The sequence below is a fragment of the Homo sapiens genome, chromosome X, assembly GCF_000001405.40.
Source record: "Homo sapiens chromosome X, GRCh38.p14 Primary Assembly".
Lineage (NCBI taxonomy): Eukaryota > Metazoa > Chordata > Mammalia > Primates > Hominidae > Homo > Homo sapiens.
In genome coordinates this window covers 71,239,624-71,266,330 of record NC_000023.11, presented here as the reverse complement: position 1 = coordinate 71,266,330, position 26,707 = coordinate 71,239,624, and the positions used below count along the sequence as shown (strand labels likewise).

General features: G+C 50.9%; 1 protein-coding gene and 1 long non-coding RNA gene across 14 annotated transcripts in view, besides 2 other annotated features; one reads left to right on the top strand and one right to left on the bottom strand.

Moving 5' to 3' along the window:
- Positions 1-11,523, bottom strand: part of LOC105373247 (uncharacterized) — a 17,985-nt gene extending 6,462 nt beyond the window's left edge. For all 3 annotated transcript variants that reach the window (XR_938433.2, XR_938432.2, XR_938434.2), the window contains exons 1-2: positions 11,331-11,523; positions 1,267-1,489 (exon numbers count right to left, since the gene is read on the bottom strand). This is a non-coding gene — a long non-coding RNA (uncharacterized LOC105373247). The remainder of the gene's footprint in view (positions 1-1,266; positions 1,490-11,330) is intronic.
- Positions 11,041-26,707, top strand: ZMYM3 (zinc finger MYM-type containing 3). Of its 11 annotated transcripts, none has more exons than XM_047442633.1 (25): positions 11,041-11,672; positions 13,057-13,742; positions 14,730-14,773; positions 15,087-15,153; positions 15,605-15,899; positions 16,128-16,305; positions 16,652-16,870; positions 17,162-17,312; positions 17,530-17,645; positions 17,807-17,893; positions 18,019-18,169; positions 18,425-18,597; positions 18,821-18,986; positions 19,639-19,700; positions 19,819-19,978; positions 20,233-20,345; positions 20,489-20,663; positions 20,846-20,992; positions 21,438-21,541; positions 21,861-22,029; positions 22,351-22,502; positions 23,247-23,361; positions 23,907-24,161; positions 24,987-25,104; positions 25,223-26,707. In XM_047442633.1, exons 2-25 carry the CDS (start codon positions 13,076-13,078, stop codon positions 25,413-25,415), a joined length of 4,077 nt encoding a protein of 1,358 aa, XP_047298589.1. In that variant the 5' UTR covers positions 11,041-11,672; positions 13,057-13,075; the 3' UTR covers positions 25,416-26,707.
- Positions 11,576-11,625: a silencer, noted in NCBI's record as "silent region_20896". NCBI's record gives its function as "represses an Ori minimal core promoter by ATAC-STARR-seq in GM12878 lymphoblastoid cells {active_cell/tissue: GM12878}" and the evidence as "EXISTENCE:reporter gene assay evidence [ECO:0000049][PMID:35858748]".
- Positions 11,646-11,695: a silencer, noted in NCBI's record as "silent region_20895". NCBI's record gives its function as "represses an Ori minimal core promoter by ATAC-STARR-seq in GM12878 lymphoblastoid cells {active_cell/tissue: GM12878}" and the evidence as "EXISTENCE:reporter gene assay evidence [ECO:0000049][PMID:35858748]".

Genomic DNA, 26,707 nt, shown 5'->3' with positions numbered 1-26,707 from the left:
ACTCTTTTCTATTATTGTACACCTTGAAGGCGAGGTTAATTAAGTCCCGTTGTGGGGTTTGAGGGCCAGAATCTAATTTTTGGAGCTTTTTCTAATGTTGGGGGAGCAGATTGGGTAATAAAATGTATATCAAGAATAATACGGCCTTCTGGCCCCTCTGGGTCTAGGGTGGTAAACTGTCTAAGGGTTGTTGCCAAACGGGCCATGGACTGGGCTGGGTTTTTATATTTAATGAAAAAGAGCCTAAACCCTAACTGATTTGGGAGAGGTCAGATAAAGAAAAAGAAGCATTAACCTTGACTATGCCTTCAGCTCCAGTCACCTCTCTAAGAGGAGATTTTTGGGCAGATGGGGGAGGGCTAGTAGCGGAACAAAACTGTAAGCTGGACTGGGTGTGAGGAGGGGAGGTGACAGAAGGGTTATAGGGTAGAGGAGTGGAGGCTGAGGGAGAATTGGGACCTGGCTCGGCCTGGCAAGGAGCAGCCTGGGGAGGAGGGGAGAGGTCAGACGGGTTTGTAGAAAAGGAGGATTCAAAGGACTCAGAGCTTGGGGTGGAGACTGAAGGAACAGACAGGAGAGAAAAAAGAAAGATTTGGGACGAGTCGCATTGGGAGCAGAGACTAGGGAGGGACTGATGTGCAAAAGAATGCCTGGACATCAGACACCTCAGACCATTTGCCCATATTACGACAAGCATTATCTAGATCTTGTGGGATGGAGAAATCGAAAGTGCTGTTTTCTGGCTATTTGGAACCGTTGCTGAGTTTGTATTGGGGTCAAGCAGTATTGCAGCATAAAATAAGGCATTTAGGTTTTAGGTCAGGTGTGAGTTGAAGAGGTTTTAAGTTTTTAAGAACACAGGCTAAGGGAGAAGAAGGAGGAATGGAGGGTGGAAGGTTGCCCATAGTGAAGGCAGCAAGCCGAGAGAAAAGAGAGGGTAGAGACACAGAGTGGGGGGGTGGTACTTGCCACCCAGGGGAGGTGGTGCTTGCCACCAAGGTGGAGGATCAAGGCAGGCATCCCTGCAGTGATCAGACACCTCTGAAATGTGGGTGAATAATCAGGCAGGCATCCCCGCAGTGATTAAACACCAAGGGAAGACTGTCTTCCCGAGTCCGTGACCGGCGCCGGAGTTTTGAGTTCATGGATAAAACGCATCTCCTGTCTCTACCAGAAAGGGAAAGGAACCGAAATTAAGGAAGGGAGAGATTGAAGGGTGGAGGGATAGCGAGAGAGGTTGGAGAAGAGAGTGAAAAGACCGCTTACCCGATTTGAATTTGGTGAGATGTTCCTTGGGTTAGTTGGTCTGAGGACCTGAGGTCATAGGTGGATCTCCTCACAGAGGGTGAGGACAGGGGACTGGTCTCCCGAAGGAGTCCTCCTGTCCCAGGTTTCGGCACCAAATGTCACGCACGTCCATGTGAAGAGAGTCCAGCAACACGCTTTGTGTGAGCAACAAGGCTGTTTATTTCACCTGGGTGCAGGTGGGCTGAGTCGGAAAAAGGAGTCAGCAAAGGGTGGTGGGATTATCATTAGTTCTTATAGGTTTGGGATAGGCAGTGGAGTTAGGAGCAATTTTTTGCAGGTAGGGGGTGGATCTTACAAAGTATATTCTCAAGGGTGGGGAGAATATTACAAAGTACCTTCTTAAGGGCAGGGGAGCATATTACAAAGTACCTTCTCAAGGGTGGGGAGGGTATATCGTACAAAGTACATTCACAAGGGTGGGGGAATATCACAAAGTACATTATCACAAGGGCGGGGAGGTAGTATTGTCACAAAGTCAATTGATTAGTTAGGGTGGGGCAGGAATGGTGGGATGTCATCAGTTAAGGCAGGAATTGGCTATTTTCACTTCTTTTGTGGATCTTCAGTTGCTTCAGGCCATATGGATGTATACGTGCAGGTCACAGGGGATATGATGGCTTAGCTTGGGCTCAGAGGCCTGACACTGACCTCAAGTGATCCGCCCACCTTGGCCTCCCAAAGTGCTGGGATTACACATGTGAGCCACCAAGCCCAGCATTTTTTTTGTTTTTTAAATAGAGATGAGGTCTCCCTATGTTGGCCAGGATGGTCTCGAACTCCTGGGCTCAAGTGATCCTCCTGCCTTGGCCAAAGTGCTGGGATTACAGGCATGAGCCACTGTGCTGGCAGAATTGTATACTTTAAATGGGCAAGTTGCATGGTATATGAATTCTATCTCAATAAAGCTTTTATTTTAAGTAAATAACCATAAGTATGAATTGAAGAAATAATATTAACCTAACTTGATTTCCCAAGGGACAGTGCCATAGCAGAAAATCCTGTAGGGACATTGGGACCCACAAAATCTCCAGGAAAATCAGTAGACTTTCTGGGAATAAGCTAGGAAATGTTGCCTCCAAAGTTGGGAGAGATGTTTGAAACAGTACAGAGTAAACGTTAATGAGTGGAGTATAGTTAGAAGCACACCATGAAGCCTGACTACCACCATTGAACTTACTGATGATAAGGAGAATGAAGTATCTTTTCATTACATTTCATCATTTTATTTATCCTTTTTTTTTTTTTTTGAGACAAGAGTCTTGCTCTGTTGCCCAGGCTGGAGTGCAGTGGCGTGATCTCAGCACACTGCAACCGCCGCCTCTTGGGTTCAACCAATTCTCCTGCCTCAGCTTCCCAAGTAGCTGGGACTACGGGCAAGCGCCACCATGCCCAACTAATTTTTGTATTTTTTTTTTTTTTTTTGGAGACAGAGTCTTGCTCTATTGCTCAGGCTGGAGTGCAGTGGTGCGATCTCGGCTCACTGCAAGCTCTGCCTCCTGGGTTCACGCCATTCTCCTGCCTCAGCCTTCTGAGTAGCTGGGACTACAGGTGCCCGCCACCACGCCCGGCTAATTTTTTTGTATTTTTAGTAGAGACGGGGTTTCACATGTTAGCCAGGATGGTCTCCATCTCCTGACCTCATGATCTGCCTGCCTCGGCCTCCCAAAGTGCTGGGATTACAGGCGTGAGCCACCACACCTGGACTAATTTTTGTAGTTTTAGTAGAGACGGGGTTTCACCACGATGCCCAGGCTGGTCTCGAACTCCTGAGCTCAGGCAATCCGCCCGCCTCAGCGGCCCAAAGAGCAAGGATTACAGGTGTGAGCCACCATGCCCAGCCCCCACTGGGTACTTTAGAATGCTACAAAACACTAACCATGAGAATAAGAATGGTTGGGCGCTGTGGCTCACGCCTGTAATCCCAGCACTTTGGGAGGCCCAGGCAGGCAGATCACCTGAGGTCAGAAGATCAAGACCAGCCTGACCAACATAGAGAGACCCCCATCTCTACTAAAAATACAAAATTAGCTGGGCATAGTGGCACATGGCTGTAATCCCAACTACTAGGGAGGCTGAGGCAGGAGAATTGCTTGAACCTGGGAGTAACAGGTTGCAGTGAGCCGACATCACGCCACTGCACTCCAGCCTGGGCAACAAGATTGAAACTCTGTCTCAAAAAAAAAAAATTAAAAAGGATAAGAGTAAGAATACAGATGGGCACGGTGGCTCATGCCTATAATCCCAGCACTTTGGGAGGCCAAGGTGGGCAGATAACCTGAGGTCAGGAGTTCAAGACCAGCCTGGCCAACATAGTGAAACACTGTCTCTACAAAAAATACAAAAATTACCCGGGCATAGTTGTGCACGCCTGTAATCCAGGCACTCGGGAGGCTGAGGCTGGAGAATTGCTTGAACCTGGGAGGCTGAGGTTGCAGTGAGCCGAGATGGTGCCACTGCACTCCAGCCTGGGTGACAGAGCAAGACTCCATCTCAAAAAAAAAAAAAAAAAAAAAAAAGAATCCATGGCCAGGAGCAGTGGCTCACACCTGTAATCCCAAATCCTTGGGAGGCCGAGGCAGGATATAGTGACTCTGTCTCTACAAAATAAAAAACAAAAATTAGCTTGGAATAGTAACATGTACCTGTCCTCCCAACTACTTAGAAGGCTGAGGTGAGAGGATGGCTTGAGCATGGGAGGTCAAGGCTGAAGTCAGACATGATCATGCCACTGCATTCCAGCCTGGGTGACAGAGTGAGACCCTGTCTCAAAAACAAACAGGGCCAGGTGCGGTGGCTCACTCCTGTAATCCCAGCACTCTGGGAAGCTGAGGCTGGTGGATCACTTGAGGTCAGGTGTTTGAAACCAGCCTGACCAACATGGTGAAACACCATCTCCACTAAAAATGCAAAAATTTGCTTGGCATGGTGGCGTGTGCCTGTAGTCCCAGCTACCTGGGAGGCTGAGGTAGGAGAATGGCTTGAACCCGGGAGGCGGAGGTTGCAGTGAGCTGAGATCGCGCCACTGCACTCCAGCCTGGGCGACAGAGGACGGAGTGAGACCCTGTCTCAAAACAAACAACAACAACAACAAAAACAAACAAAAAACAAGCAAACAAAAAACACAACAGAATCCATGTGGTTCCATAGTTGGTTCTACAGAGTGAACTTCACCCTAATCAAATGACCACTAAAGAGTCTGCAGTGTAATGCTTCTTCAGAGTTAACCATTCCCATTCAGATGTTTACTTGGGGTTCTACAGAGTCCCTGTTGATGTCCATGGAAATCCTTGAATTCAGAAAACATTATACCTCCATTTGTTTGATCAAATTATATGTGAGTTTGCCTGTTGTGAAAAAATAAAGTTTGGGCCTGGCACGGTGCCTCATGCCTGTAATCCTAGCACTTTGGGAGGCCGAGGTGGGCAGATCACGAGGTCAGGGGTTCGAGACCAGCCTGGCCAACATAGTGAAACCCTTCTCTACTAAAAATACAAAAAGAAATTAGCCAGGCATGGTCGTGTGCACCTATAATTCCAGCTACCAGGGAGGCTGAGGCACAAGAATCTAGTGAACCCGGGAGGCGGAGGTTGCAGTGAGCTGAGATTGCACCACTGCACTCCAGCCTGGGCAACAGTGCGAGACTCCACAAAAATAATAATAATAGTAATAAAGTTTGACATCCATCAGTAATTAGTTAAATAAAGCATGGCACATCCAAATAATGGAATAATACACAGCCATTACAATTATGTTGTAAAACATGTGGTACAAGATTATTCCAATTTCGTAAAAATGTGTATGCATTGAAAAAAAGGACTGGAATGATATACATCAAAAAGTACAGTGGTGGCTGGGCGAAGTGGCTCACACCTGTGATCCCAGCACTTTTGGAGGCCGAGGCTGAGGCAGGCAGATCACCTGAGGTCAGGAGTTCGAGACCAGCCTGGCCAACCTGGTGAAACCCTGTCTCTACTAAAAATATACAAATTAGCCAGGTGTGGTGGTACTCGCCTGTAATCCCAGCTACTCAGGAGGCTGAGGCAGGAGAGTCACTTGAACCCGGAAGTCAGGGATTGCAGTAAGCCAAGATCATGCCACTGCACTCCAGCCTGGGCAACAGAGTGAGACTCAGTCTCAAAAACAAAACAAACAAAAAAAAACTCCCTGTGGTAGAATATAAACAATTATTGCTTACTTTGTCAGACTTTCTGTGCTTTCCAAAATTTTTACAGTAAACATTTATTTATATTTTTGTAATCAGAAACAAAATAATGTACACTTAAAATGAAAGAGTCCTCATAAGCACAGGGACTGCAATTTTTTTTTTTTTTTTTTTGAGACAGAGTTTCACTCTTTTTGCCCAGGCTGGAGTGCAATGGCGCTATCTCGGCTCACTACAGCCTCCACCTCCTGGATTCAAGTGATTCTCCTGCCTCAGCCTCCTGAGTAGCTGGGATTACAGGTGCCCACCACTACACCTGGCTAATTTTTGGTATTTTTAGTAGAGACGGGGTTTCACCGTGTTGGCCAGGCTGATCTCAAACTCCTGGCCTCAGGTGATTTGCACCTCGGCTTCCCAAAGTGTTGGGATTACAGGCGTGAGCCACCGCGCCTGGCCAGGACTGCATTTTTACATGTTTTATAGTGCTTACAGCACTTTAAGAGTGATTTATAAATGGTAAATAACAAGTAGTAGAATTGAGTAGGCTGGGCATGGTGGCTCACGCCTGTAATCCCAGCACCTTGGGAGGCCGAGGTGGGTGGATCACGAGGTCAGGAGATCAAGACCATCCTGGCCAACATGGTGAAACTCTGTCTCTACTAAAAATACAAAAATTAGCTGCGTGTGGTGGCGTGTGCCTGTAATCCCAGCTACTCGGGAGGCTGAGGCATGAGAATCGCTTGAACCCAGGAGGTGGAGATTGCAGTGAGCCAAGATCGCACCACTGCACTCCAGCCTGGCCACAGAGCAAGACTCCGTCTTAAAAAAAATAAAAAATAAAATAAAAGAATTGAGTATAGTAGTATACTACCACTGAGTATAAAGTAGTATACAATAACTGTAACAAGGCTGAAGTATATGATAACTGTAACAAGGATGAAAATGAGAGATGAATTGCAGGCTATCCTCTTCCCCCGAAATATTAGCCCATTCTATGTTAGAGCCTTTCACATGTGGCAGATATATACTCAAACTTACCAACTGTGGCCACTCTTGGCCTAGTCAAAGACAAAATATATATTCATTTTAAGGATACAAAAGCTCCAGTTTGGGAAATCCTAGACCTTCCATGGAACCAGATGTATTTCTCTTATAATAACAGTAACGAGGCTGGGTGCAGTGGCTCACGTGTGTAATCCCAGCACTTTGGGAGGCCAAGGCAGGTGGATCATCCGAGGTCAGGAGTTCAAAACCAGCCTGGCCAACATGGTGAAATCCCATCTCTATTAAAAATACAAAAATTAGCTGGGCATGGTGGACCATGCCTGTAATCCCAGCTACTTGGGAGGCTGAGGCAGGCGAGTCGCTTGAACCTGGGTGGCAGAGGTTGCAGTGAGCCAAGATCACGCCATTGTACTCCAGACTGGGAGACAAAAGCGAAATTTCATCTCAATAATAATAAAATAAAATAATAACAATAACCAGTATCTATTGAGCACCTGTGGTCAGGCAGGTGTACATTTCACTTAATAGCATCTCTATGAGGTATTATCTCCATTTTACATTTGTGGACACTGAGGTTCAAAGTGGCTGTATAAATACTCAATGGTAGAATCAGGATTTGGATCCTCATCTTTCTGACTGTAAAAGCCAGCCTCTTTCTATGCACATCGACTCCTTAAAAAACAAAATGTTGGCAAGGCACGGTGGCTCACGCCTATAATCCCAGCACTTTGGGAGGCTGAGGCGGGCAGATCATGAGGTCAGGAGATCGAGACCATCCTGGCTAACACGGTGAAACCCCGTTTCTACTAAAAATACAAAAAATTAGCTGGGCATGGTGGCGGGTGCCTGTAGTCCCAGCTACAGGGAGGCTGAGGCAGGAGAATGGTGTGAACCTGGGAGGCGGAGCTTGCAGTGAGCCAAGATTGTGCCACTGCACTCTAGCCTGAGCAACAGAGCGAGACTCCGTCTCAAAAACAAAAACAAAAACAAAAAAATTAAGCCTGTCAGGAGAATCGCTTGAACCTGGGAGGTGGAGGTTGTAGTGAGCCAAGATCGCGCCACTGCACTCCAACCTGGGCAACAAGAGCGAGACTCCATCTCAAAAAAAAAAAAAAAGGAAATACAAAATGCAGAAAATTATTTTTATTTATATATATATATTTTTTGAGACAGGGTCTTGCTCTATCACCCAGGCTGGAGGGCAGTGGCACAATCCTGGCTCACTGCAACCTCCAGCCTTACCCTCCCGAGTAGCTGGGACCACATGCATGCACCACTGCCCTCAGATAATTTTTTGTATTTTTGGTAGAGACAGGGTTTCACCATGTTGCCCAGGCTTGTCTCGAACTCCTGAGCTGCCACCACGCCAGCTAATTTTTGTATTTTTTAGTAGAGACGGGTTTCACCACGTTGGTCAAGCTGGTCTTGAAGTCCTGACCTCAAATGATCCATCCGCCTCGGCCTCCCAAAGTGCGGCCTCCCACCGTGCCTGGCCAGCCCTTATTTTTAGGTGCTAACATTTTTTCATGATTATAAAAACAATATGTGCTCAGTAGAACAGTTTAGAAAATACAAGGCTGGGAGTGGTGGCTCACGCCTTTAGCAATCCCAGCACTTTGGGAGGCCGAGGTGGGTGGATCACTTGAGGTCAGGAGTTCGAGACCAACCATAGCCAACATGGTGGAACCCATCTGTACTAAAAAAAATACAAAAATTAGCTGGTGTGGTGGCACACGCCTGTAGTTCCAGCTACTCGGGAGGCTGAGGCATAAGGATCGCTTGAACCTGAGAAGCAGAGGTTGCAGTGAGCCGAGACCATGCCACTGCACTCCAGCCTGGGAGACAGAGTGAGACTCTGTCTCAAAAAAAAAAAAAAAAAGTTTAGTAAATACAAAATGCAGAAAATTATTTTTATTTATATATTTATTTATTTTTTTGAGACAGAGTCTTGCTCTATCGCCCAGGCTGGGGACAGTGGCACAATCTCGGCTTACTGCAACCTCCAGCCTTACCCTCTTGAGTAGCTGGGACCACAGGCGTGCACCACTACGCCTGGATAATTTTTTGTGCTTTTGGTAGAGATGGGGTTTCACCGTGTTGCCCAGTCTGGTCTCCAACTCCTGAGCTCAAGCAATCCACCCACCTCGACCTCCCAAAGTGCTGGGATCACAGGCGTGAGCCTCTGCGCTCGGCCTAAATTTTTTTAAATAAAAATTTTATTTACGGTCAGGCGCGGTGGCTCACGCCTGTGATCCCAGCACTTTGGGAGGCCGAGGCGGGTGGATCACGAGGTCAGGAGATTGAGACCATCCTGGCTAACACGGTGAAACCCCATCTCTACTAAAAATACAAAAAATTAGCCGGGCGTGGTGGCGGGCGCCTGTAGTCCCAGCTACTCGGGAGCCTGAGGCAGGAGAATGACGTGAACCCGGGAGGTGGAGCTTGCGGTGAGCTGAGATTGGGCCACTGCACTCCAGCCTGGGCGACAGAGCAAGACTCCGTCTCAAAAACAAAACAAAACAAAACAAAACATATATATATATATATTTGAGAGATGAAGTCTCGCTCTGTGGCCCAGGCTGGAGTGCAGTGGCTCAGTCTCAGCTTACCACAACCTCCGCCTCCCGGGTTCAAGCGATTCTCCTGACTCCCAAAGTGCTGGGATTACAGGAGTTACTGCACCAGGCCCACTTTATTTTTTAGAGCAGTTTTGGCATCACTGCAAAATTGAGCTGAAAGTATCAAGAGTCCTTTGTACCCCTCTCCACACACAGACACAGCCTCCCTATCAACATCCTGTCCAGAGTGGTAAATTTCTTGCAGTGATGAATATACAGTGACACATTATCAACCAAAGGCCATAGTTTACATAAGGGCTTCCTTTTGGTGTTGTACATTCTATGGGTTTTAATTTTTTTAAATAAAGATTTTATTTTTTAAGAGCAATTTTAGTTTCACAGCAAAACTGACAGGTAGGTCCGGAGAGTCCCATATACCTCCTTCCCCCATGCAGTCACGGCTCCCCTGACTACCAACATCCCTATCAGAGTGGTAAATTTGTTAAAATCGATGAACCTACATTAACACATCATTACTAACCAAAGCCTGCGGTTTACATTAGAGTTAGTTCACCCTTGGTGTTTACATTCTGTATCTTTGAACAAATGTATACTTACAAGTATCCACTATTACAGTATCATGAGAGTATTTTCGCTACCGTAAAAATCCTCTGTGCTGTCTGCCATTAGTTGTTTTTTGTTTTTGTTTTTTTAATGTGGGGTTTTGTTTTGTTTGGTTTGAGACAGAGCCCTCGTCTGTCGCCCCGGGCTGGAGTGCAGTGGCGCCATCTGAGCTCGCTGCAATTTCTGCCTCCCAGCTCAAGTGATCCTCACACCTCCGCCTCCTGAGTAGCTGGGACTACAGGTGCACACCAGCACACCTTGCTAATTTTTTGTATTTTTTGTAGAGAAGGGGTTTCACCATGTTGCTCAGGCTGGTTTGGAACTCCCGGGCTCAAAGGATCCAACCGTCTTGGCATCCCAAAGTGCCAGGATTACAGGCGTGAGTCACTGCGCCAGACTTAAAATGTGGTTGTTAATGACTACGTCTGTTGCATAACCAAAATCCCCTATTATTGGGCATTTAGATTGTTTCCTTATCTGTTTTAAAGAGGAGAAAACTAAGGCCCTTCACTTGACAAGTCACTTGTCCAAAGTCACCTGGCTAAAAAGTAGGCAGAACTGATATTAGAAATCTGGTCTGACTCCAGAACCCATTCTTAGGCCACCACACTGCGTCTAGAATTAATAACACACCACTTAACCCCGTTAGATCAGCTCCCCTCAACTTGAAAGATAGTGACCAGGCACCTCCACAAGCAGAGCAGCCAAGGATTCAAGTATATGTTGAGGAAGGCAGGCAATACAGAAAAAACTAGGTGGCTCAACTGAGATGGAACAAGCAGAAAATGCAAAGGGGAGGTCCAGGAATAGAAATAAACAGGAGGTAGGAGATGGGTACACAGAATGCTGGTTAAGACAAAGAGAAAGCTGGATTTGGGAAATCTAAAAGTAAGAAACTCTGGCTTTTATCTCTGTATGTAGGAGGGAGCAAAGATAACCTCAAGGCCATGTGGGGAGCTAGCAAGGATAAGGTTTCTGGGAAAAGGAATGAGAAAAGGGAGGGTAAACTCCCGAGGACTACAAGAGCAGGAGAGGCTTTGTGTGGCCAGGAGGAGAGGCCAGAAGTCAACGAGGCAGGCTAGAATAGGCACTGGATACCAAACCTTCCTGTTCCTAAGGAGACTTCCTTCCAGCCTGAGCCTCCTCTAGTAGTTCGGCTACTAAATGCTCTCAGCCCTTAGGGGCTGTGGTGGGAAGTGGGGAGCGGGGATTGTAAAGTGCTCTAACTATTAATATAATGCGGACTGAGAATGGATGCTGGCACAATTTTTTAAAGGCAGTAGGCTTAACGCTAGTGCCACCTACCCCTACTCCACTTCTCTAGCCTAACCTCAGCCACACCCACATGCTAAGGACCATCCAGGAGGGGGGAGCGTGTAGCGCGCCTGCGTGCTCGTGCGCACGAGAAGCAGAGAGGCAGAGAAGGAGACAAAAAGAGATAGGGGGAGAGAGAGAGAGAGAGCGAGAAGAGAGAGACAGACAAGGACAGAAAGGGGGCTGGAGGAGAAAGAGAGAGAGAGATACAGAGAGAGAGAGAGAGAGAGAGAGAGAGAGAGAGAGAGAGAGAGAGAGAGAGAGAGAGAGAGAGATCAGCCCTGGTGAGGGAGGAAAACTCCATAGATAATACAGGGAGCTCCTGCAGGAAGACTCAGGGAGAAGATCCCAGAACTTACCCTAAGACTGTTGAGAGAGTAGGGGGTAGCTTTGCAGGACCTGGTTTGGGGGTCATCAAGCAGTAACGGTTACTGCACAGGCGTTGCCACTGAGCCAGAGCCATTTAACCCGACCTGTGTGGCTGGGGATCAAGCTTCAGATACCCCATAACTCTGACTCTCAGACTGTTTTGGGGGCCCCGTGGCTGCAGACAAGGGAAGGAGGGGCACGTGAGGGCTGGGTCCCTGCCTCCCCCCGTCCTCCGCTGTCACTCACTACCCCAACAGTCGCCCAGGGGGCGGGACCCGGAGAGGTGGGGATGGGGGAGGGTAATCTTGGCAGGCGCCTGCTGCATGGCGTAGGTAGGGACTATTGAGGGGGGCGGACGCCGAGGGGGTGAACACGAGTGGGAAGCTAAGAGAGACACGGGGAGGGGGAGGGGACCGGGAACCATTTGAATGAGAGGAGGGGATCACGGGTAGAGTGGGCTCCAGGAGGTAGGGCGAGCAGGGTGTGACGGGGGCCAGACTCTTGAGCCAGGTAAGGGGAGCAGGTGCGTAGATCTGTGTTTTTTGTGGGTGAGCGCACTCGGCCCTTGGGTGGAAAGGGGACGCCGCCTTTCCCGGGGGGCCGGCTTCAAAGCTCCAGAGGCTATCTTTTCCTTCTCAACTAACGGGGCCCCGGGCGGGGGCTCAGGCGCCGTCTCTAGTGGCTGCATTCCACTCCGCAATTTCCAGGCGGCCACTGGACTGGGAGTCTCGCGCCGGGGGCCGGCGCTGTCTCGCGAGCCCCCTCCTCGAGCCAGCCAATGGGGTTGGTTGCTGGCACCGCCCGCCCGCCTGGTGCAGAGCGCTGGGCGCTGCGAGCGGCGCTGCCATTTAAAGGGGCCGCGACCCCTGTCCCGGCTGCTAGGGAGGGAGGTAGAGAAGGAGCGCGGGGCCGTCGCTGTCTGCAGTTCTAGGCTTGTAGCCTTTGCACTAACCCTGCCGCAGGTAGGGGTCGGGCCTGCTCAAGCCGAACCGAACCTGCAAGCGGGATCTTGCAGTAGCCGGGAGGCGGTGGTGGGGGGGTCTAAGGAGAGATCGTAGCTCCAAAATGTCTTCCTGTAAATGCCTGAGGTTGGGGGTGGGCAACAGGAGAAGGGAGGACTGGAGGAGCAATGGGAAAGGGGGACGGGGCTGAGGAAGTGGGCGACCTGAAAGGTAACTGGGGGGAAGGGGTTGCGAAGGGCAGTTTGTGGGGGCGGGGGAAGGGCCGAGGGAGGACCTAGCAACGCGGGGAGGGGGGGTGGGGCCAGACAGGGTGGGTAAAGACTGGGGAGCTGGGGGGCTCCTGCAGAGTGGGGAGGGAATAGAAACTGAGATCGCGGGGGCGGGAAAGGCTCCTGGTGGCGACGGCCTTAGGAGACTCTAAGGGGGCGTTCAGCCTGAGTTGCGGGGGGTAAAAGGTAAGGGGGGAAGGGAATGGGAGTTGCAGTCGAGTAGGGGGGTGGGCGGGTAGAACGACCGACTGCCTGGCCAGTGTGGGCACGGGGCCAGGGCGGGGAACGCCTCTCCCCACTGGGGGCGCTGTATTGGGGGGAGTGGTCATTAGGACTAAAGCCTTCGGAAATGCTTGTAGATTGTGGTGGTGGGGGCTGCTCATGAGAAATCCAAGTGGATGATGGGGTGTGTCTCAGAGCCTATATAAGAAGGAATTCAGGCTAAGACCACCTCTACTGCCCCCTCTTCTACTCCTAATCTGCAGTACATATCCAGCCATACTCATGGACCCCAGTGATTTCCCCAGTCCATTTGACCCATTGACCCTGCCAGAGAAGCCCCTGGCTGGAGACCTACCAGTAGACATGGAATTTGGAGAGGATCTACTGGAATCCCAGACTGCCCCAACTCGAGGATGGGCCCCCCCTGGCCCTTCTCCATCCTCGGGAGCCCTGGACCTGCTTGATACCCCTGCTGGCCTGGAAAAAGACCCTGGAGTCCTGGATGGAGCCACTGAGTTGCTGGGGCTGGGGGGGCTGCTCTATAAAGCCCCCTCTCCCCCGGAGGTGGACCACGGTCCTGAGGGAACCCTGGCATGGGATGCAGGAGATCAGACCCTAGAGCCTGGACCAGGGGGCCAGACCCCTGAGGTGGTACCACCTGATCCAGGGGCTGGGGCAAATTCCTGTTCACCTGAGGGGCTACTAGAGCCTTTGGCTCCAGATTCTCCAATAACACTGCAGTCCCCACATATTGAAGAGGAGGAGACCACCTCCATAGCTACTGCAAGAAGGGGCTCCCCTGGGCAGGAGGAGGAGCTTCCCCAAGGGCAGCCACAGAGCCCAAATGCCCCGCCTAGCCCTTCAGTGGGAGAGACTCTGGGGGATGGAATCAACAGTTCTCAGACCAAACCTGGGGGCTCTAGCCCCCCTGCACATCCTTCCTTGCCAGGTAGGTTGCCTAATTATCTGGAGAATCAGGGCTGGGAGAGGGTGGTGGTAAGGAGGGGTGGCTATGTGCTTTGGGAAGTAGTGGGGAGGAGGAGGGTGGAGAGATAAGTGTAGGGATGTGTGTGGGGAAGGACTTGGGGTTTACGAGGGAGGAGTGGGGTGGTGTGTAGAGGAAGATTAAGGAAAGTAGGGGTGGGCACAGGCTGTGGGGGAGGAATGGGGTAAGGTTTCAGGGAGCGTAGGTTGGGAGGAGTGAATTTGGTGGGAAGGGTTCCCTTTTTCCTACCCCAGTGGGCTTTTGGTGCCAGAGTCCTTCCTTCAGGATTTGGGGGAGTACACCAGGCTTCTTGGTTCTAAGACCTTTACAGCTTTTTGGTTCTAGATGGGAGTGGGATTTCTGGGTTTGATGAATGGTAACTAGGTTCTGGAGCCCCTAACAGCATAAGGATTTCAGCAGAGCGATAGAAATGCAGGGTCTAGGATTGCGTCTCTGATAGGGGAGGGACAACCTTGACTTGAGAGGCTCTAGTGTCTCCCCTCTTCTGCCTAGTGGTGTGCCTCTATCAGGCTGTGACGAGGGTCTTAGGGCTTATATAACCACCTGAATCCAGGGGAAGCTACCCATACACTGATGCTTCCTTTTCCTTTTGCTACCTTTGGGTGGTTGTGTGTGTTTTTCATTGGTAAAATATAAATTCTTAATGAAAGGTATATTACCTGTGTTTCCTTAACCCCCAAGGATTGGGACAGAAAGCTGGTGGGAAGGATAGATTTTTTTTTTTTCATGGAATAGCTGCACGTGCACCCCCCCACCCTTAGTACAGAGCCTGAGGTAACCCTGAGAGGGGCCCCAAGAAGCCACAGGCACTCGAGTTTTCCCTTTCAGTTTTGAGTAAGTTCTTCCCCAGGAATGGAGGCGGGGGTTGGGCCGGGGAGAGGGTGGTGAGGGCAGGCTCAACATTTAGGCTGCCTTCTGCTTCCTTTGCAGGAGATGGCCTGACTGCGAAGGCGAGTGAGAAGCCGCCTGAACGGGTGAGGGGGAGGGGATTGGAAGGAGTCTGGTTCCCCCTTAGCTCTGGGAAGGACAGACCCTTCATTTTCCCTCCCAGATGTTGTTCTGTAGAGAGTGTGTGTAAGGAGAGTTAGGAGGAGGGAGGGAGCACTAGTGTCTACTGCTTGTTGGGGAGAAAGTCCAACCTCCTTTTCTTCCCTCCTCCTAAGGGCTGGGCCAAGGGTCCCCACTCTCCCTTCCCCCTCCCATCTTCTATCCCCCCCCAAACCCTGTACTAGTGTTAGCCTGGCCAGGGTGTCAGTTTTCCTCCCCTCCCATCTTTCCGAGGTACAGAAGAGAAGCGAGCGCGTTAGGAGAGCAGAACCTCCAAAACCTGAGGTTGTAGATTCCACTGAGAGCAGTAAGTAGGATTTGAGGAAGTGTGACCTGGGAGTTCTGGGTGTGGAAAAGGTCCGAAAGTGGCATGCGGCAGGGCATGGATCTTCTAGCTCCTGCCGTCCTGCTCCATGAAGCGCATGAAGTGCCTGTCTCTGCTATGGGTTGGCATGGGAACCAGGGGCAGTGGGGGAAATTGAAAACAAGAGCAGTGAGAATGGCGAGTTTCCTGTTTCAGCTATGCCATCTCTGTCTCCGAATCTTCTCATTTAGAGCCTCTCCCTTTCCCTCCCTGGGAGGTTACAGAGTAACCAAGGGAGAGAGACACCAAGGTCTTAAGATACTGATGTAACAAGGGCCAGGGTGTAAAGGCCGGAACAACAGGGATCCCAGGAGAGGGACTGAACTGTTGGTCAGGGGATGGTTGGAGACCTGGTTTGGTGGCCTTTCTCATGTCCATCCCCCCACTTTCTCAGTTCCAGTGTCAGATGAGGATTCTGATGCCATGGTAGATGACCCCAATGATGAGGACTTTGTGCCATTCCGGCCCCGGCGCTCTCCTCGCATGTCCCTACGCTCAAGTGTGTCACAAAGGGCCGGGCGCTCTGCAGTGGGCACCAAGATGACTTGTGCACATTGCCGGACACCACTGCAGAAGGGGCAGACTGCCTATCAGCGCAAGGGGCTGCCTCAGCTCTTCTGCTCGTCATCCTGCCTCACCACTTTCTCCAAGAAGCCCTCGGGCAAAAAGACCTGTACCTTCTGCAAGAAGTGCGTGAGGGTCTTGGGGGCTATGCAGAGGGCAGGGATCTGGGCAGGAGTATGAGTAAGACAGAGACTGTTGGTAAGAACCTAGCAGGATGGAGCTGGGCGAGAGAGTGATGTAGGGAGAGAGTCAGAGTATTTGGCTCTGTGGTCATTGATCCTGGAGGAGGGGCGGAAGCTGAGGAAATGAGAGGGTGGTCTTGAGTGAATATTCAAACCTGTTCCCACCTCTAGGGAGATCTGGAACACCAAGGACTCGGTTGTGGCGCAGACTGGTTCTGGAGGCTCCTTCCATGAGTTCTGCACATCCGTCTGTCTCTCCCTGTATGAGGCCCAGCAGCAGCGCCCGATCCCCCAGTCTGGGGATCCCGCCGACGCTACTCGCTGCAGCATATGCCAGAAGACTGGAGAGGTGAGGACACTCAGTGGGGGCTGATTTACAGAGCCTGGCCAGCCCTGACCTGCCCCTCCCATCCTGGGGCTGCAGGGTCCAGGCCCTGTGGAAAGGGGAGTGGGGAGGAAAGGCGGCCATCATGAGGGAGCGTATTCAAGGACAGAGCTTCTCCAGGATGTGCACAGCTGGCCTTCCTTACCTCCCAGGACCTCACCATCAAGTCGGCAGCCTGCGGCGCAGGTTGGGGGGTCCCTGGGCCCACTGTCTGCTGTGAAGGTCTAGGGTGAGGTGGGGGGCTGACCTTGCATTGGGGTGGGCGGTGGTGGCCAGGCCCTAGCTCAGGGTGCGTGTATGTGTGTGGCAGGTCCTGCACGAGGTCAGCAATGGCAGCGTGGTACACCGGCTCTGCAGCGATTCTTGCTTCTCCAAATTCCGGGCCAACAAGGGACTGAAAACCAACTGTTGTGACCAGTGTGGGGCTTACATCTACACCAAGACCGGGAGTCCTGGCCCTGAGCTCCTCTTCCACGAGGGCCAACAAAAGCGGTTCTGCAACACAACCTGCTTGGGGGCGTACAAGAAGGTGGGGCCGAGGGAGTAGTGCATTAGAGGGCTGTGGAAGGGGGTGTGGTTCTTGGGTTATAAATAAAGGTGGCTGATGGGTCAAGGGCTGGGAGAAATAAAACAAATAAAGGGGGTTTCAATTGTATCCGTTATGTTTTATTTTTGAAGCTGGCTGGTGGATACACAGGTCTTTGTTACATCATCATCTATACTTTTTTTGTATGCCTGAAATATTTCATGTTTAAAACATTTAAAAAATAAAAGTGAAGGGACAAATCCAGCCTCAGCCTCTCCTTCCCCATCCTCACAGAAAAACACACGTGTGTACCCATGTGTCTGGTGCAAGACCCTGTGTAAGAACTTTGAGATGCTATCACATGTGGATCGTAATGGCAAGACCAGCTTGTTCTGTTCCCTGTGCTGTACCACTTCTTACAAAGTGAAGCAGGCAGGGCTCACTGGTAGGTGCAAAGCCCTCTTCTCTGAGTCCCCTGCTGGCCTTCTCTCTACCTCCCATACTCCCCTCTTCCAGAGTAATCCTTGCTGCCCGACCTCAGTCCCAACCACATCTCCCCATGGATTTTCTGTTCGTCTCTTACACTGCCTTACACCTTCTGTGTGCTCTCTCTCTCCCTCTCTCTTTCTCTTTTCCTCTCTCTCTTTCTCTCTATGCCCCAGGCCCTCCCCGACCCTGCAGCTTCTGCCGCCGCAGCCTCTCTGACCCCTGTTACTACAACAAGGTTGACCGCACAGTCTACCAGTTCTGCAGCCCCAGCTGCTGGACCAAGTTCCAGGTACTCCAGACCCTGGACCAGGGATAGAAGGGTTTGGCAACATAAAGAGGGTTGGAGAATTGGGGTAGGCAGGCCTGGGCAGAGCAAAGAACAAGCCTGACTCCCCTTCCCCACCGCTGCACACATCTTGCCCCTCCCTTACTTGTCTTCCTTCCCTCCAGCGCACAAGCCCTGAGGGGGGCATTCACCTGAGCTGTCACTACTGTCACAGCCTCTTCAGTGGCAAGCCTGAGGTCTTGGACTGGCAGGTAAGAGCCCCACCCCCACCCACGTCTTGCCACACGACCAGACTGTCTGAAGGGGTCCTTCCACTTGGCCCCTGCTGGGGCCAGATGTTACAGCTTGTCCTCCCTGCCCTGTGCCCCCACCTCAGGACCAAGTGTTCCAGTTCTGCTGCCGTGATTGCTGTGAGGACTTCAAGCGGCTTCGGGGTGTGGTGTCCCAGTGTGAGCACTGTCGGCAGGAGAAACTCTTGCATGAGAAACTCCGATTCAGCGGAGTGGAGAAAAGCTTCTGCAGCGAAGGTAAGGAGATGGGGAAGGGCAGAAGACACTATAACTCCCAGCCAGGGAGAATGGAGGAGAAGGGAGGGAGGCCGGGAAAGTGGTCCATGAGGCAGGGCCTTCTGCCCGGGATGTTCTACCCCCATCTCCCCTAAAGTTTTGGGCACAAGGGGCTGCTTAGAGAGAGGTTTCAGGTATAGCACCTTGAAAAGGTTGGGTCTCTTGCCCTTGGGTATCTGTGTCTCTGGACTCTCTTTCCTCTTCTCCTCTTTCCAGGCTGTGTGCTGCTGTACAAACAGGACTTCACTAAGAAGCTGGGCTTGTGCTGTATCACTTGTACTTACTGCTCCCAGACCTGCCAGCGCGGAGTCACCGAGCAACTGGATGGCAGCACCTGGGACTTCTGCAGTGAGGACTGTAAGAGCAAGTACCTGCTGTGGTACTGCAAGGTAAGGAGGGTCAGCATGCGAGCGAGGCGGGAAAGAGGGCAGTGGGGAGCACGGGCTGTGGTACTGAGCTCGGGGTGTGGACAGATCTCCAGGGAGGGCAGCCAGCCTTCCATCTCTAAGCTGGCCCGATCTCCAAGGGGAGGAGCATGGCTTATCCCGGGGGAAAGAAAGGGCCCAACGCATTTTAGGGAGGCAGGTCTGACCATCCTTTTGACATCCTCAGGCTGCCCGGTGCCATGCGTGTAAGCGCCAGGGGAAGCTGCTGGAGACCATCCACTGGCGTGGGCAGATCCGTCATTTCTGCAACCAGCAGTGTCTTCTGCGTTTCTATAGCCAGCAGAACCAACCCAACCTGGATACCCAGAGTGGGCCCGAGAGCCTCCTGAACAGTGAGTCCCAGGCAGGGGGTACACTCTGTTAGAGGGAGCCTGGACTCTCCTAATCCTAAGCCTAGCCCCTTTCTCCTTCCTCTTGCGTTCAGCTCACCCCTGGCCAGATAGGGTGCTAGTACTGTGAACTGTATTCTCTTTTAGCTTCCGAACCCTGCAGGTACCGGGGGAGTCTTATTTAAAGCTTCTTGGAGTTAGCATCTACTGATTGTCTATGAAATATATATTGTTAGGGAGTGGGTGCCTTTCCTGGTAGGATGGAGCATATAGGGGTTATGGTTACGTTTCTGAGATAAGGAAATCTCAGCATAAACTCTACATTTAGTGAGACTGAAGACTGCTATTTCTAGAATGTTACCCCTGCCCCTCCACAACTCCAGGGATAACAGACTCTTCAGGCTATCTAAGTGGAAGGTCTCAAATGTGGGTTTTGGGGGAAAATGTAATGTTTCATTCTCCAGGAACAAATAATCTTTTAGGCTGCTATTGCTGGGGCATAGAGGAGACTAGATCTGGGATGGCAAGGGGGTCAAATCCTAGAAGTTCCCATCTGTATTTGGTGTACCTGTTAATGAAGCTCTCCTGGAACAGGGGTAAGGAAAATGGAGAGCTAGTCCCTTGGATGAGAGCATTCATTTGTTTTGATCTACAGGTCAGTCTCCTGAGTCAAAACCCCAGACACCCTCTCAAACCAAAGTGGAGAACAGCAACACAGTGAGGACCCCAGAGGAAAATGGGAATTTGGGCAAGGTCGGGGCAAAAGCCAAGGGGGAGGATAATCTCAGAGGAGGGTACGGCGGTTGGTGGCACAAATGTTCCTCTGTCTTTGCAGATCCCTGTGAAGACCCGATCAGCTCCCACTGCTCCCACCCCTCCACCCCCACCACCCCCAGCAACACCCCGCAAAAACAAGGCTGCCATGTGTAAGCCACTGATGCAGAATCGGGGCGTCTCCTGCAAGGTGGAGATGAAGTCCAAAGGAAGTCAAACAGGTGAGCCAGGGTACCTCGATGCCACAGGCTGTATTCCAGAGTCCTAGGCCTGCCAGCCCTATGTCCGTGAGCTGGACAAGGGGATTTCTTAGGTAGCTGAAGCCTCATTCATATGGTTGTCCTAGAATCATAGAGGTGTCTTTCAGCCTTTGATTCAAGGGCAGTTTTGTGACACTGAGCATGTTAGAGCTTTTGGTGGGTCAGATGTGACCAGTCCAGCAGGGTCTCTGAGAAGACCCCTTTCTTATCCACAGAAGAGTGGAAGCCACAGGTGATCGTGCTGCCCATCCCAGTGCCCATCTTCGTGCCAGTGCCTATGCATCTGTACTGCCAGAAAGTCCCGGTGCCTTTCTCGATGCCTATCCCGGTGAGTTTCCCTGCCCTTCCTGGCTGGGTCCTCCTTTCCCCTTACTCTCATCAACTGTCCCCCTTCACTCATCATCTGTCCCCCCAACTTCCCCCCAACTGCTGGTGTGGTTCTTGGCATTTAGTTGGGATTCGTGCCTCCAGGTGCCTGTGCCCATGTTCTTGCCCACTACCTTGGAGAGCACAGACAAGATTGTAGAGACCATTGAGGAGCTGAAGGTGAAGATCCCTTCCAACCCCTTGGAGGCCGACATCCTGGCTATGGCAGAAATGATTGCAGAGGCTGAGGAGTTAGACAAGGCCTCATCTGACCTTTGTGGTATGCCATAGATGGTGGCGACGAGGGAGACAGGGTGCTACCAGCATGTCTCTGCCCGAGGGGGTGGTATTGGTGATCTTGGTGCCTAGTAGAATGGGAGGATAGTTGGGATCAGTCCCTGAAAGCTTGTGAGGGTGCTAGCAGGAGCTTGTAACCACTGAGCCAACTTCTCTGCTTCCCAGATCTTGTGAGCAACCAGAGTGCAGAGGGACTCCTGGAAGACTGTGACCTGTTTGGGCCTGCTCGAGATGATGTCCTGGCCATGGCAGTCAAGATGGCCAATGTCTTGGATGAGCCTGGGCAAGACTTGGAGGCAGACTTCCCTAAGAGTGAGTAAGATTGGAGCCATGCCCACTGAGTATGGTAGCATTTGTGCCATCAGGAAGGGAGTGTCCCTTGTGTCCCTGAGCATGACCCTGAAAAGTGTTCATTGTGATTCTAAGACGGAAGGTTCTCACAGGGAGCAGTGCCAGAGACACCAGGACAGGTGCACTCTTTTAGACTTCTGAGTCATGCTTTTTTTTTTTTTTTTTTTTTTTTAATTTTTAAGCTGAAAAAAAACATAAAATTTTACCATGTTCAACATGTTTACGGTTCAGTAGTTCACATTGCTGTGTTTTGCGTTTCTGTGCCTCTGAGCATGCTTTTTGGTATAGCTTTACTGGTTCCTTTGGCTCATCTAGTGTCAAGTGGGCAAGTAGCAGGGGTGGGGCAGGAGGGCTGCAGGGTTGAGATCTTAAGAAATTGATTTCTTCTTTCTTTCCTTTTCATTAGATCCTCTGGACATTAATCCCAGTGTAGACTTCCTCTTTGATTGTGGCCTGGTAGGGCCTGAGGATGTGTCTACTGAACAAGACCTTCCCCGAACCATGAGGAAGGTAGGGCTGGGGCTACTGTATGTACAAAAGAAGAATGGAGGCCCAAAGGGGAGATGATGCGAGAGCCAAGCCAGCAACCATAGTTTGACCTTCCCTAACCTCCTTTCTCCAACACTAGAAGTACTGAGATAAAGCCAAACTTTGCTCTCCCCCCATCTCACAAGGTCATCAAAGCTGTTCCTGGGGCTCTGTGCTATGGAAGCTTGCTGTGTGCTTACATCAGCCCCTGCCCCGGCCAGCAGTAAATATGGTGCTGACTAGCTTTCACCTTGCCTCTGGCCTTACCTCTGCCATGCCCCTGCTTTCTCTTCCCCTCCAGGGTCAAAAGCGGCTGGTGCTTTCCGAAAGCTGCTCCCGGGACTCCATGAGCAGTCAGCCTAGTTGTACCGGGCTCAACTATTCATATGGTGTCAATGCTTGGAAGTGCTGGGTGCAGTCAAAATATGCCAATGGAGAAACCAGCAAGGGTGATGAGCTGCGCTTTGGCCGTAAGTACTTGGGGATGGGGGGTGTGGGGAGGCAGGGACAGGGAGGAGGAGGGGAAAGGGGAGAAGGGGCTGGGCCTGTGATTCAGCTGAAGATGTCTAGAAGTGATAAGGGTGTGATCCCTTAAGGATGCCCTGTGAAGATGGGGAGGAGTTGTAGATTAAAGGGAAATGCTGTCTAGGTTCCAGGTTAGGGGCTCTTTCTGTAATTGTTCAGGAGCTAGGCATGACTAAGGGATGGAGGGGTTAATGGTGATGGAGCTAAGTGAAATTCTCCATGTAGAGTTTTTCTTAATCCTGTCCCTGCACAACATATCACTGCAGCCAAACCCATGCGTATCAAAGAGGATATTCTCGCCTGCTCAGCTGCTGAGCTCAACTACGGTCTGGCCCAGTTTGTGAGAGAAATCACTCGGCCCAATGGTGAACGATATGAACCTGACAGTATCTACTATTTGTGTCTTGGCATCCAGCAGGTACCTCTTGTGCACCACCTCACTTCCTGTCACTCTTAACACAGCAGGCAGGGTCTAAACAGAAATGATTCTGGGTTAGGCACGGTGGCTCACGCCTGTAATCCCAACACTTTGGGAGGCTGAGGCAGGAGGATCGCTTCAAGCCAGGAGTTTGAGACCAGCCTGGGCAACAAAGTGATACCCATCTACCCAAAAAATATTTTTTTAATGAAAAAAAAAAGCAGTTATTCTGTTGCACTCCCTGTTCCTCATCTTGTCCCCTACCTGAAGCAGGCAGCTTGCCTTTAATCTCCTACTCCAAATAGAACATGAGATATCAATACTCTTCTAAAATCAAAACTGCATTCCAGGACCGTTGGCCAAGGAGCAGTCTTCATTGCTATCCAGGTCCCCTTTGTAATCTTTAAGCCCATTCTAGGAGGGGAGGGATGGGTGGAGCTGGGATCCTTGAGTGCTGGGGTAATGTTTAGTTCCCCCTGGGAGAAGTCAACCATGTATTACCTGAGAAGGAGGTGTGGGCTTCTAAAGAACATCTCCTCCAAGCCTCCTCCTCTTCGAGCAAAGCCTGAGTAGCGCAGAGCTGTGGGTATACCTGGGGGAAAGCACTCGAGGCCACCTAATCAAGCAACTGTTTCCCATCGTCTCCTAATGATCAAGGACACCATACCTGGGGGCTTCAGCATCATTATCTTTCTTCTAGGACCTACAGTCTAGCCTTAGGTGTGTCTGTTTTTCTTTCCCCAGTACTTGCTGGAAAATAACCGGATGGTGAACATTTTCACGGACCTTTACTACCTGACTTTTGTTCAAGAACTCAACAAGTCTCTGAGTACCTGGCAGCCCACACTCCTCCCCAACAGTAAGGAACAGGGACGTAGCAACCCCTACCCGCTTTCTCCATTCTTCCAATCCACCATCCCGAGAGTCCTGTGCTGTTTGGTCTGCCACTCTTCACAAAGGGCCCGAGGGCAGGAGCGTGTAGCTGGATGCCTCAGGGTTTAGAGTTAAAGGAGCACAGGAGCGCCTGTTCTTGAACGTGAGATGGGGATCAAGACTTAGGTCTGAAGAGCTATCTCTAGGACCAGAAAAAGATGGCCTGGGTTTGGGTGGTAAGTAAAGAAAGAAAGCAAGAAATCGTGGGACTCCTCAAGGTTTACATTTACTTGTCTACAACTTGAGGGTGGTGAGAGGCGTTCCAAATGCAGGTGTGGAAAGTATATATTTTTTAAAGCCCAGTCCCACTGTGTAGTGTAGCAAGTGTAGCGAAGTGACAGTGTTTTATATACAAAGGTTACTCACCAAATGAGAATTGTGTGGGAAATGAGCAGGGCACATGGGATGGGAAGTGGTTGGGTTTGGGTAGCCACTCCCTCCTGACTGGCCTCTCCCCCTTGACCATTGTAGATACGGTGTTCTCTCGAGTGGAGGAGGAGCACCTCTGGGAGTGTAAGCAACTGGGGGTCTACTCGCCCTTTGTCCTCCTCAACACCCTCATGTTCTTCAACACTAAGTTTTTTGGGCTGCAGACAGCTGAGGAACACATGCAACTCTCCTTCACCAATGTGGTGCGGCAGTCCCGCAAGTGTACCACCCCTCGGGGCACCACCAAGGTGGTGAGCATCCGCTACTATGCCCCAGTCCGCCAGAGGAAAGGGCGAGGTACGAGGCTGCCCCCTCCCCTGTGCTTTTGCCCCTTCTCTGCCTTCCCCTTCCATGCCCTGCCATAACCCACCATACCTGCCAGGTCGGCCCTCTCCTTGGCGCCTAGCTTCCCTCTCCTGTTCCTGTGTGCAGAAAGGGTAGAAACAGCCAGTCCTCCTACCTGATAGGCAGTAGCTGTTGCATAAATAAGAGGTCACCCTCTGGCCTGTTTCCCCTCTTTCCTCATTTAAGACAGTTTACTTGCTTGCCTGCTTTTTCTGGGTGGTGGACAGGTAGGAAACCATTGGGTGTGTTTGGCTGTCGGGGAGGGTAGAATGACAGGCTTTCTGTGATTCTTTGCTATCGGGTCTAACAACAACTGCACCTTGGTTTCCATTTTTTCTGTCCCTGGACTTCTGTCCTGTCTGAGTGAAGTTTCCAAGGTCCTTTCTCTGGACCCATGCTTCTACCTGGACTAATGCACAAGGGGTTGGGGTCATTGCTGTTTCTCTATCCCAGAAGGCAAGCCCACCCTTGCAGTAGGGTCTGTTTTATCAGGTCTTTTGAATAACTTCTGAGATCACCTCTTCAAGATAGCAACTTGGGGGAGATTTTAAAGAGAGTCTTTGGCAGTGGGAACTGGGGAGGGTTGCATAACAACAGCCCGACAGGATGTTGGGTTGGCGTGGGAGAGGGAGACTGACCTCTTCTTCCACCTCTCCATCTTGATGAGACTGTAATTTGTGTCGTGACGCCTTCTCCCTGTGCCCTGAACTGTGCTCTTGGATGTGGCTCATGGAGCCTGTGTTCTTAATGAGTCTGAATCATTTCCCTCCCCTATAGACACGGGTCCTGGAAAACGGAAGAGAGAAGATGAAGCCCCTATCTTAGAGCAGCGTGAGAACCGCATGAATCCCCTCCGCTGCCCTGTCAAGTTCTATGAATTCTATCTCTCAAAATGGTGAGTTGGTGGGTTGGCAGGAAAAGCGTTAGCATGGGGACCCGAGGGATCTACTTTGCCTTGGTACTGATCTTCTGTCCTGCCACCCCCACTCCCACTCCCACCCCCGATGTTGCAGTCCTGAAAGCCTCCGGACTCGCAACGATGTGTTCTACCTGCAACCTGAACGGTCCTGCATCGCCGAGTCACCTCTCTGGTATTCTGTGATCCCCATGGACCGCAGCATGTTGGAGAGCATGCTCAATCGCATCCTGGCTGTGCGCGAGATTTATGAGGAACTGGGTCGTCCTGGGGAGGAAGACCTGGACTGAGCTCGTGTGCCATCCATATCCATCTTTCACATCAATGTCTGTCCTGTGGCCATGTCCCTCAGGGTGACAGGCCCAGGAACCAATGCTACTCATTCTGAAGGGCCCTGACTGCTCCTTTCCGCTCACCCATTCCCTGCCTTCTCTAGGAACCCTGGCTTTTATCTTCTTCCGTACCACTTGACAACCATGGGGCCCTGGTCTTCTGTACTCAGGGGCTGGTCTCCCAGTGATGGGCAAAAGCCAGCTTGCCCGTTTTCTTTATGCTTCAGAGTAAACCCCTCCTTCTGGGTCCAGACTCTGGGTGGAGTGTTAATAGCTCTGGTGATCCTGTTGGCTTTGGGTTTCCTGACCCATCCCGCATAGGTAGAGCCTCTTGTTCCTAGGCATGACCTAGGGAAAAACCCAGCTGCCTTCTCTGCCCTGTGCCCACTCCCTTCTCTACTCTTCCCCAGCACCATGCCAAAAGGTCTTATCTGAAAGGTAAGAAATAAACAATGAAAGCGATGAGGGGACCATTTACATAAAACACAGAGCTTAGACACTCTTCCCCTCCTATGAAATAATTGGTTGTTGGCACCATCTCACCACCGCATATCCCTCACCCCCTCGGCAAGCACCAATCCTTGGTGCTGCCGTTTTTAAAATCTTCCAAATGCCTTTTTTTCCTCAGAGGCAGAGAATGACTAAGTACGGGGAGCAGACTCCTGTTGTGCAGACTCCTGTCCCCTTGGTTTCTGTGTTTGTCTCTCTGCCATCTTAGGTTGCCATGAGCCATGGTGTCAACATGCTTAGCCCCCTCTGTAACTGCCTCCCTTTAGTTCAATGGACAGACCTCCCAAGGCAAAAACTACCTTCTGACTTGGGTTGAGGCTGGGTTCCCCTCTATTGTTCCCCTATCATAAGAGCTAGGCCAAGCCTATGGGACCTTGAGTCATGCAGGATGGGATCTGTGGTCAAAGGACAGGCGAGGAGCTGTGGGCGCAGGGCCTGCCGCCACTGCCTACATCTTCTCTCTTCCCCATCTTGCATTGGAGGTCCCAGAAAACAATTAGCTTCTGGCAAAGGGGGTACCCACTTCTTTCCCTGTTGACTTTGCTGTTTCCCAGGCTCCTTTTTGTGTTTTTATAACTGTCACCAGTTAGCCACTGTTTAAATTGTATATATTGTTCTGAGGCGCCTGGCCTGTCCCTTCAGTGAGCCATGCCCACCCTTGTGTTGTAGTGAGAAGCTGTTGTCACGACTAACCTTCTGTCTCTGAAATTGTTTGTTTCAAATAAAGAGTTAAAATTGTC

Coding starts and splice junctions, on each gene's coding strand:
- ZMYM3 (XM_005262309.5), top strand. CDS start 13,076: ATGGACCCCAGTGATTTCCCCAGTCCATTTGACCCATTGACCCTGCCA. Junction 16,306..16,651: donor TATGCCAGAAGACTGGAGAG/GTGAGGACACTC, acceptor TGTGTGTGGCAG/GTCCTGCACGAGGTCAGCAA. Junction 17,894..18,018: donor CTGAGGTCTTGGACTGGCAG/GTAAGAGCCCCA, acceptor CCCCCACCTCAG/GACCAAGTGTTCCAGTTCTG.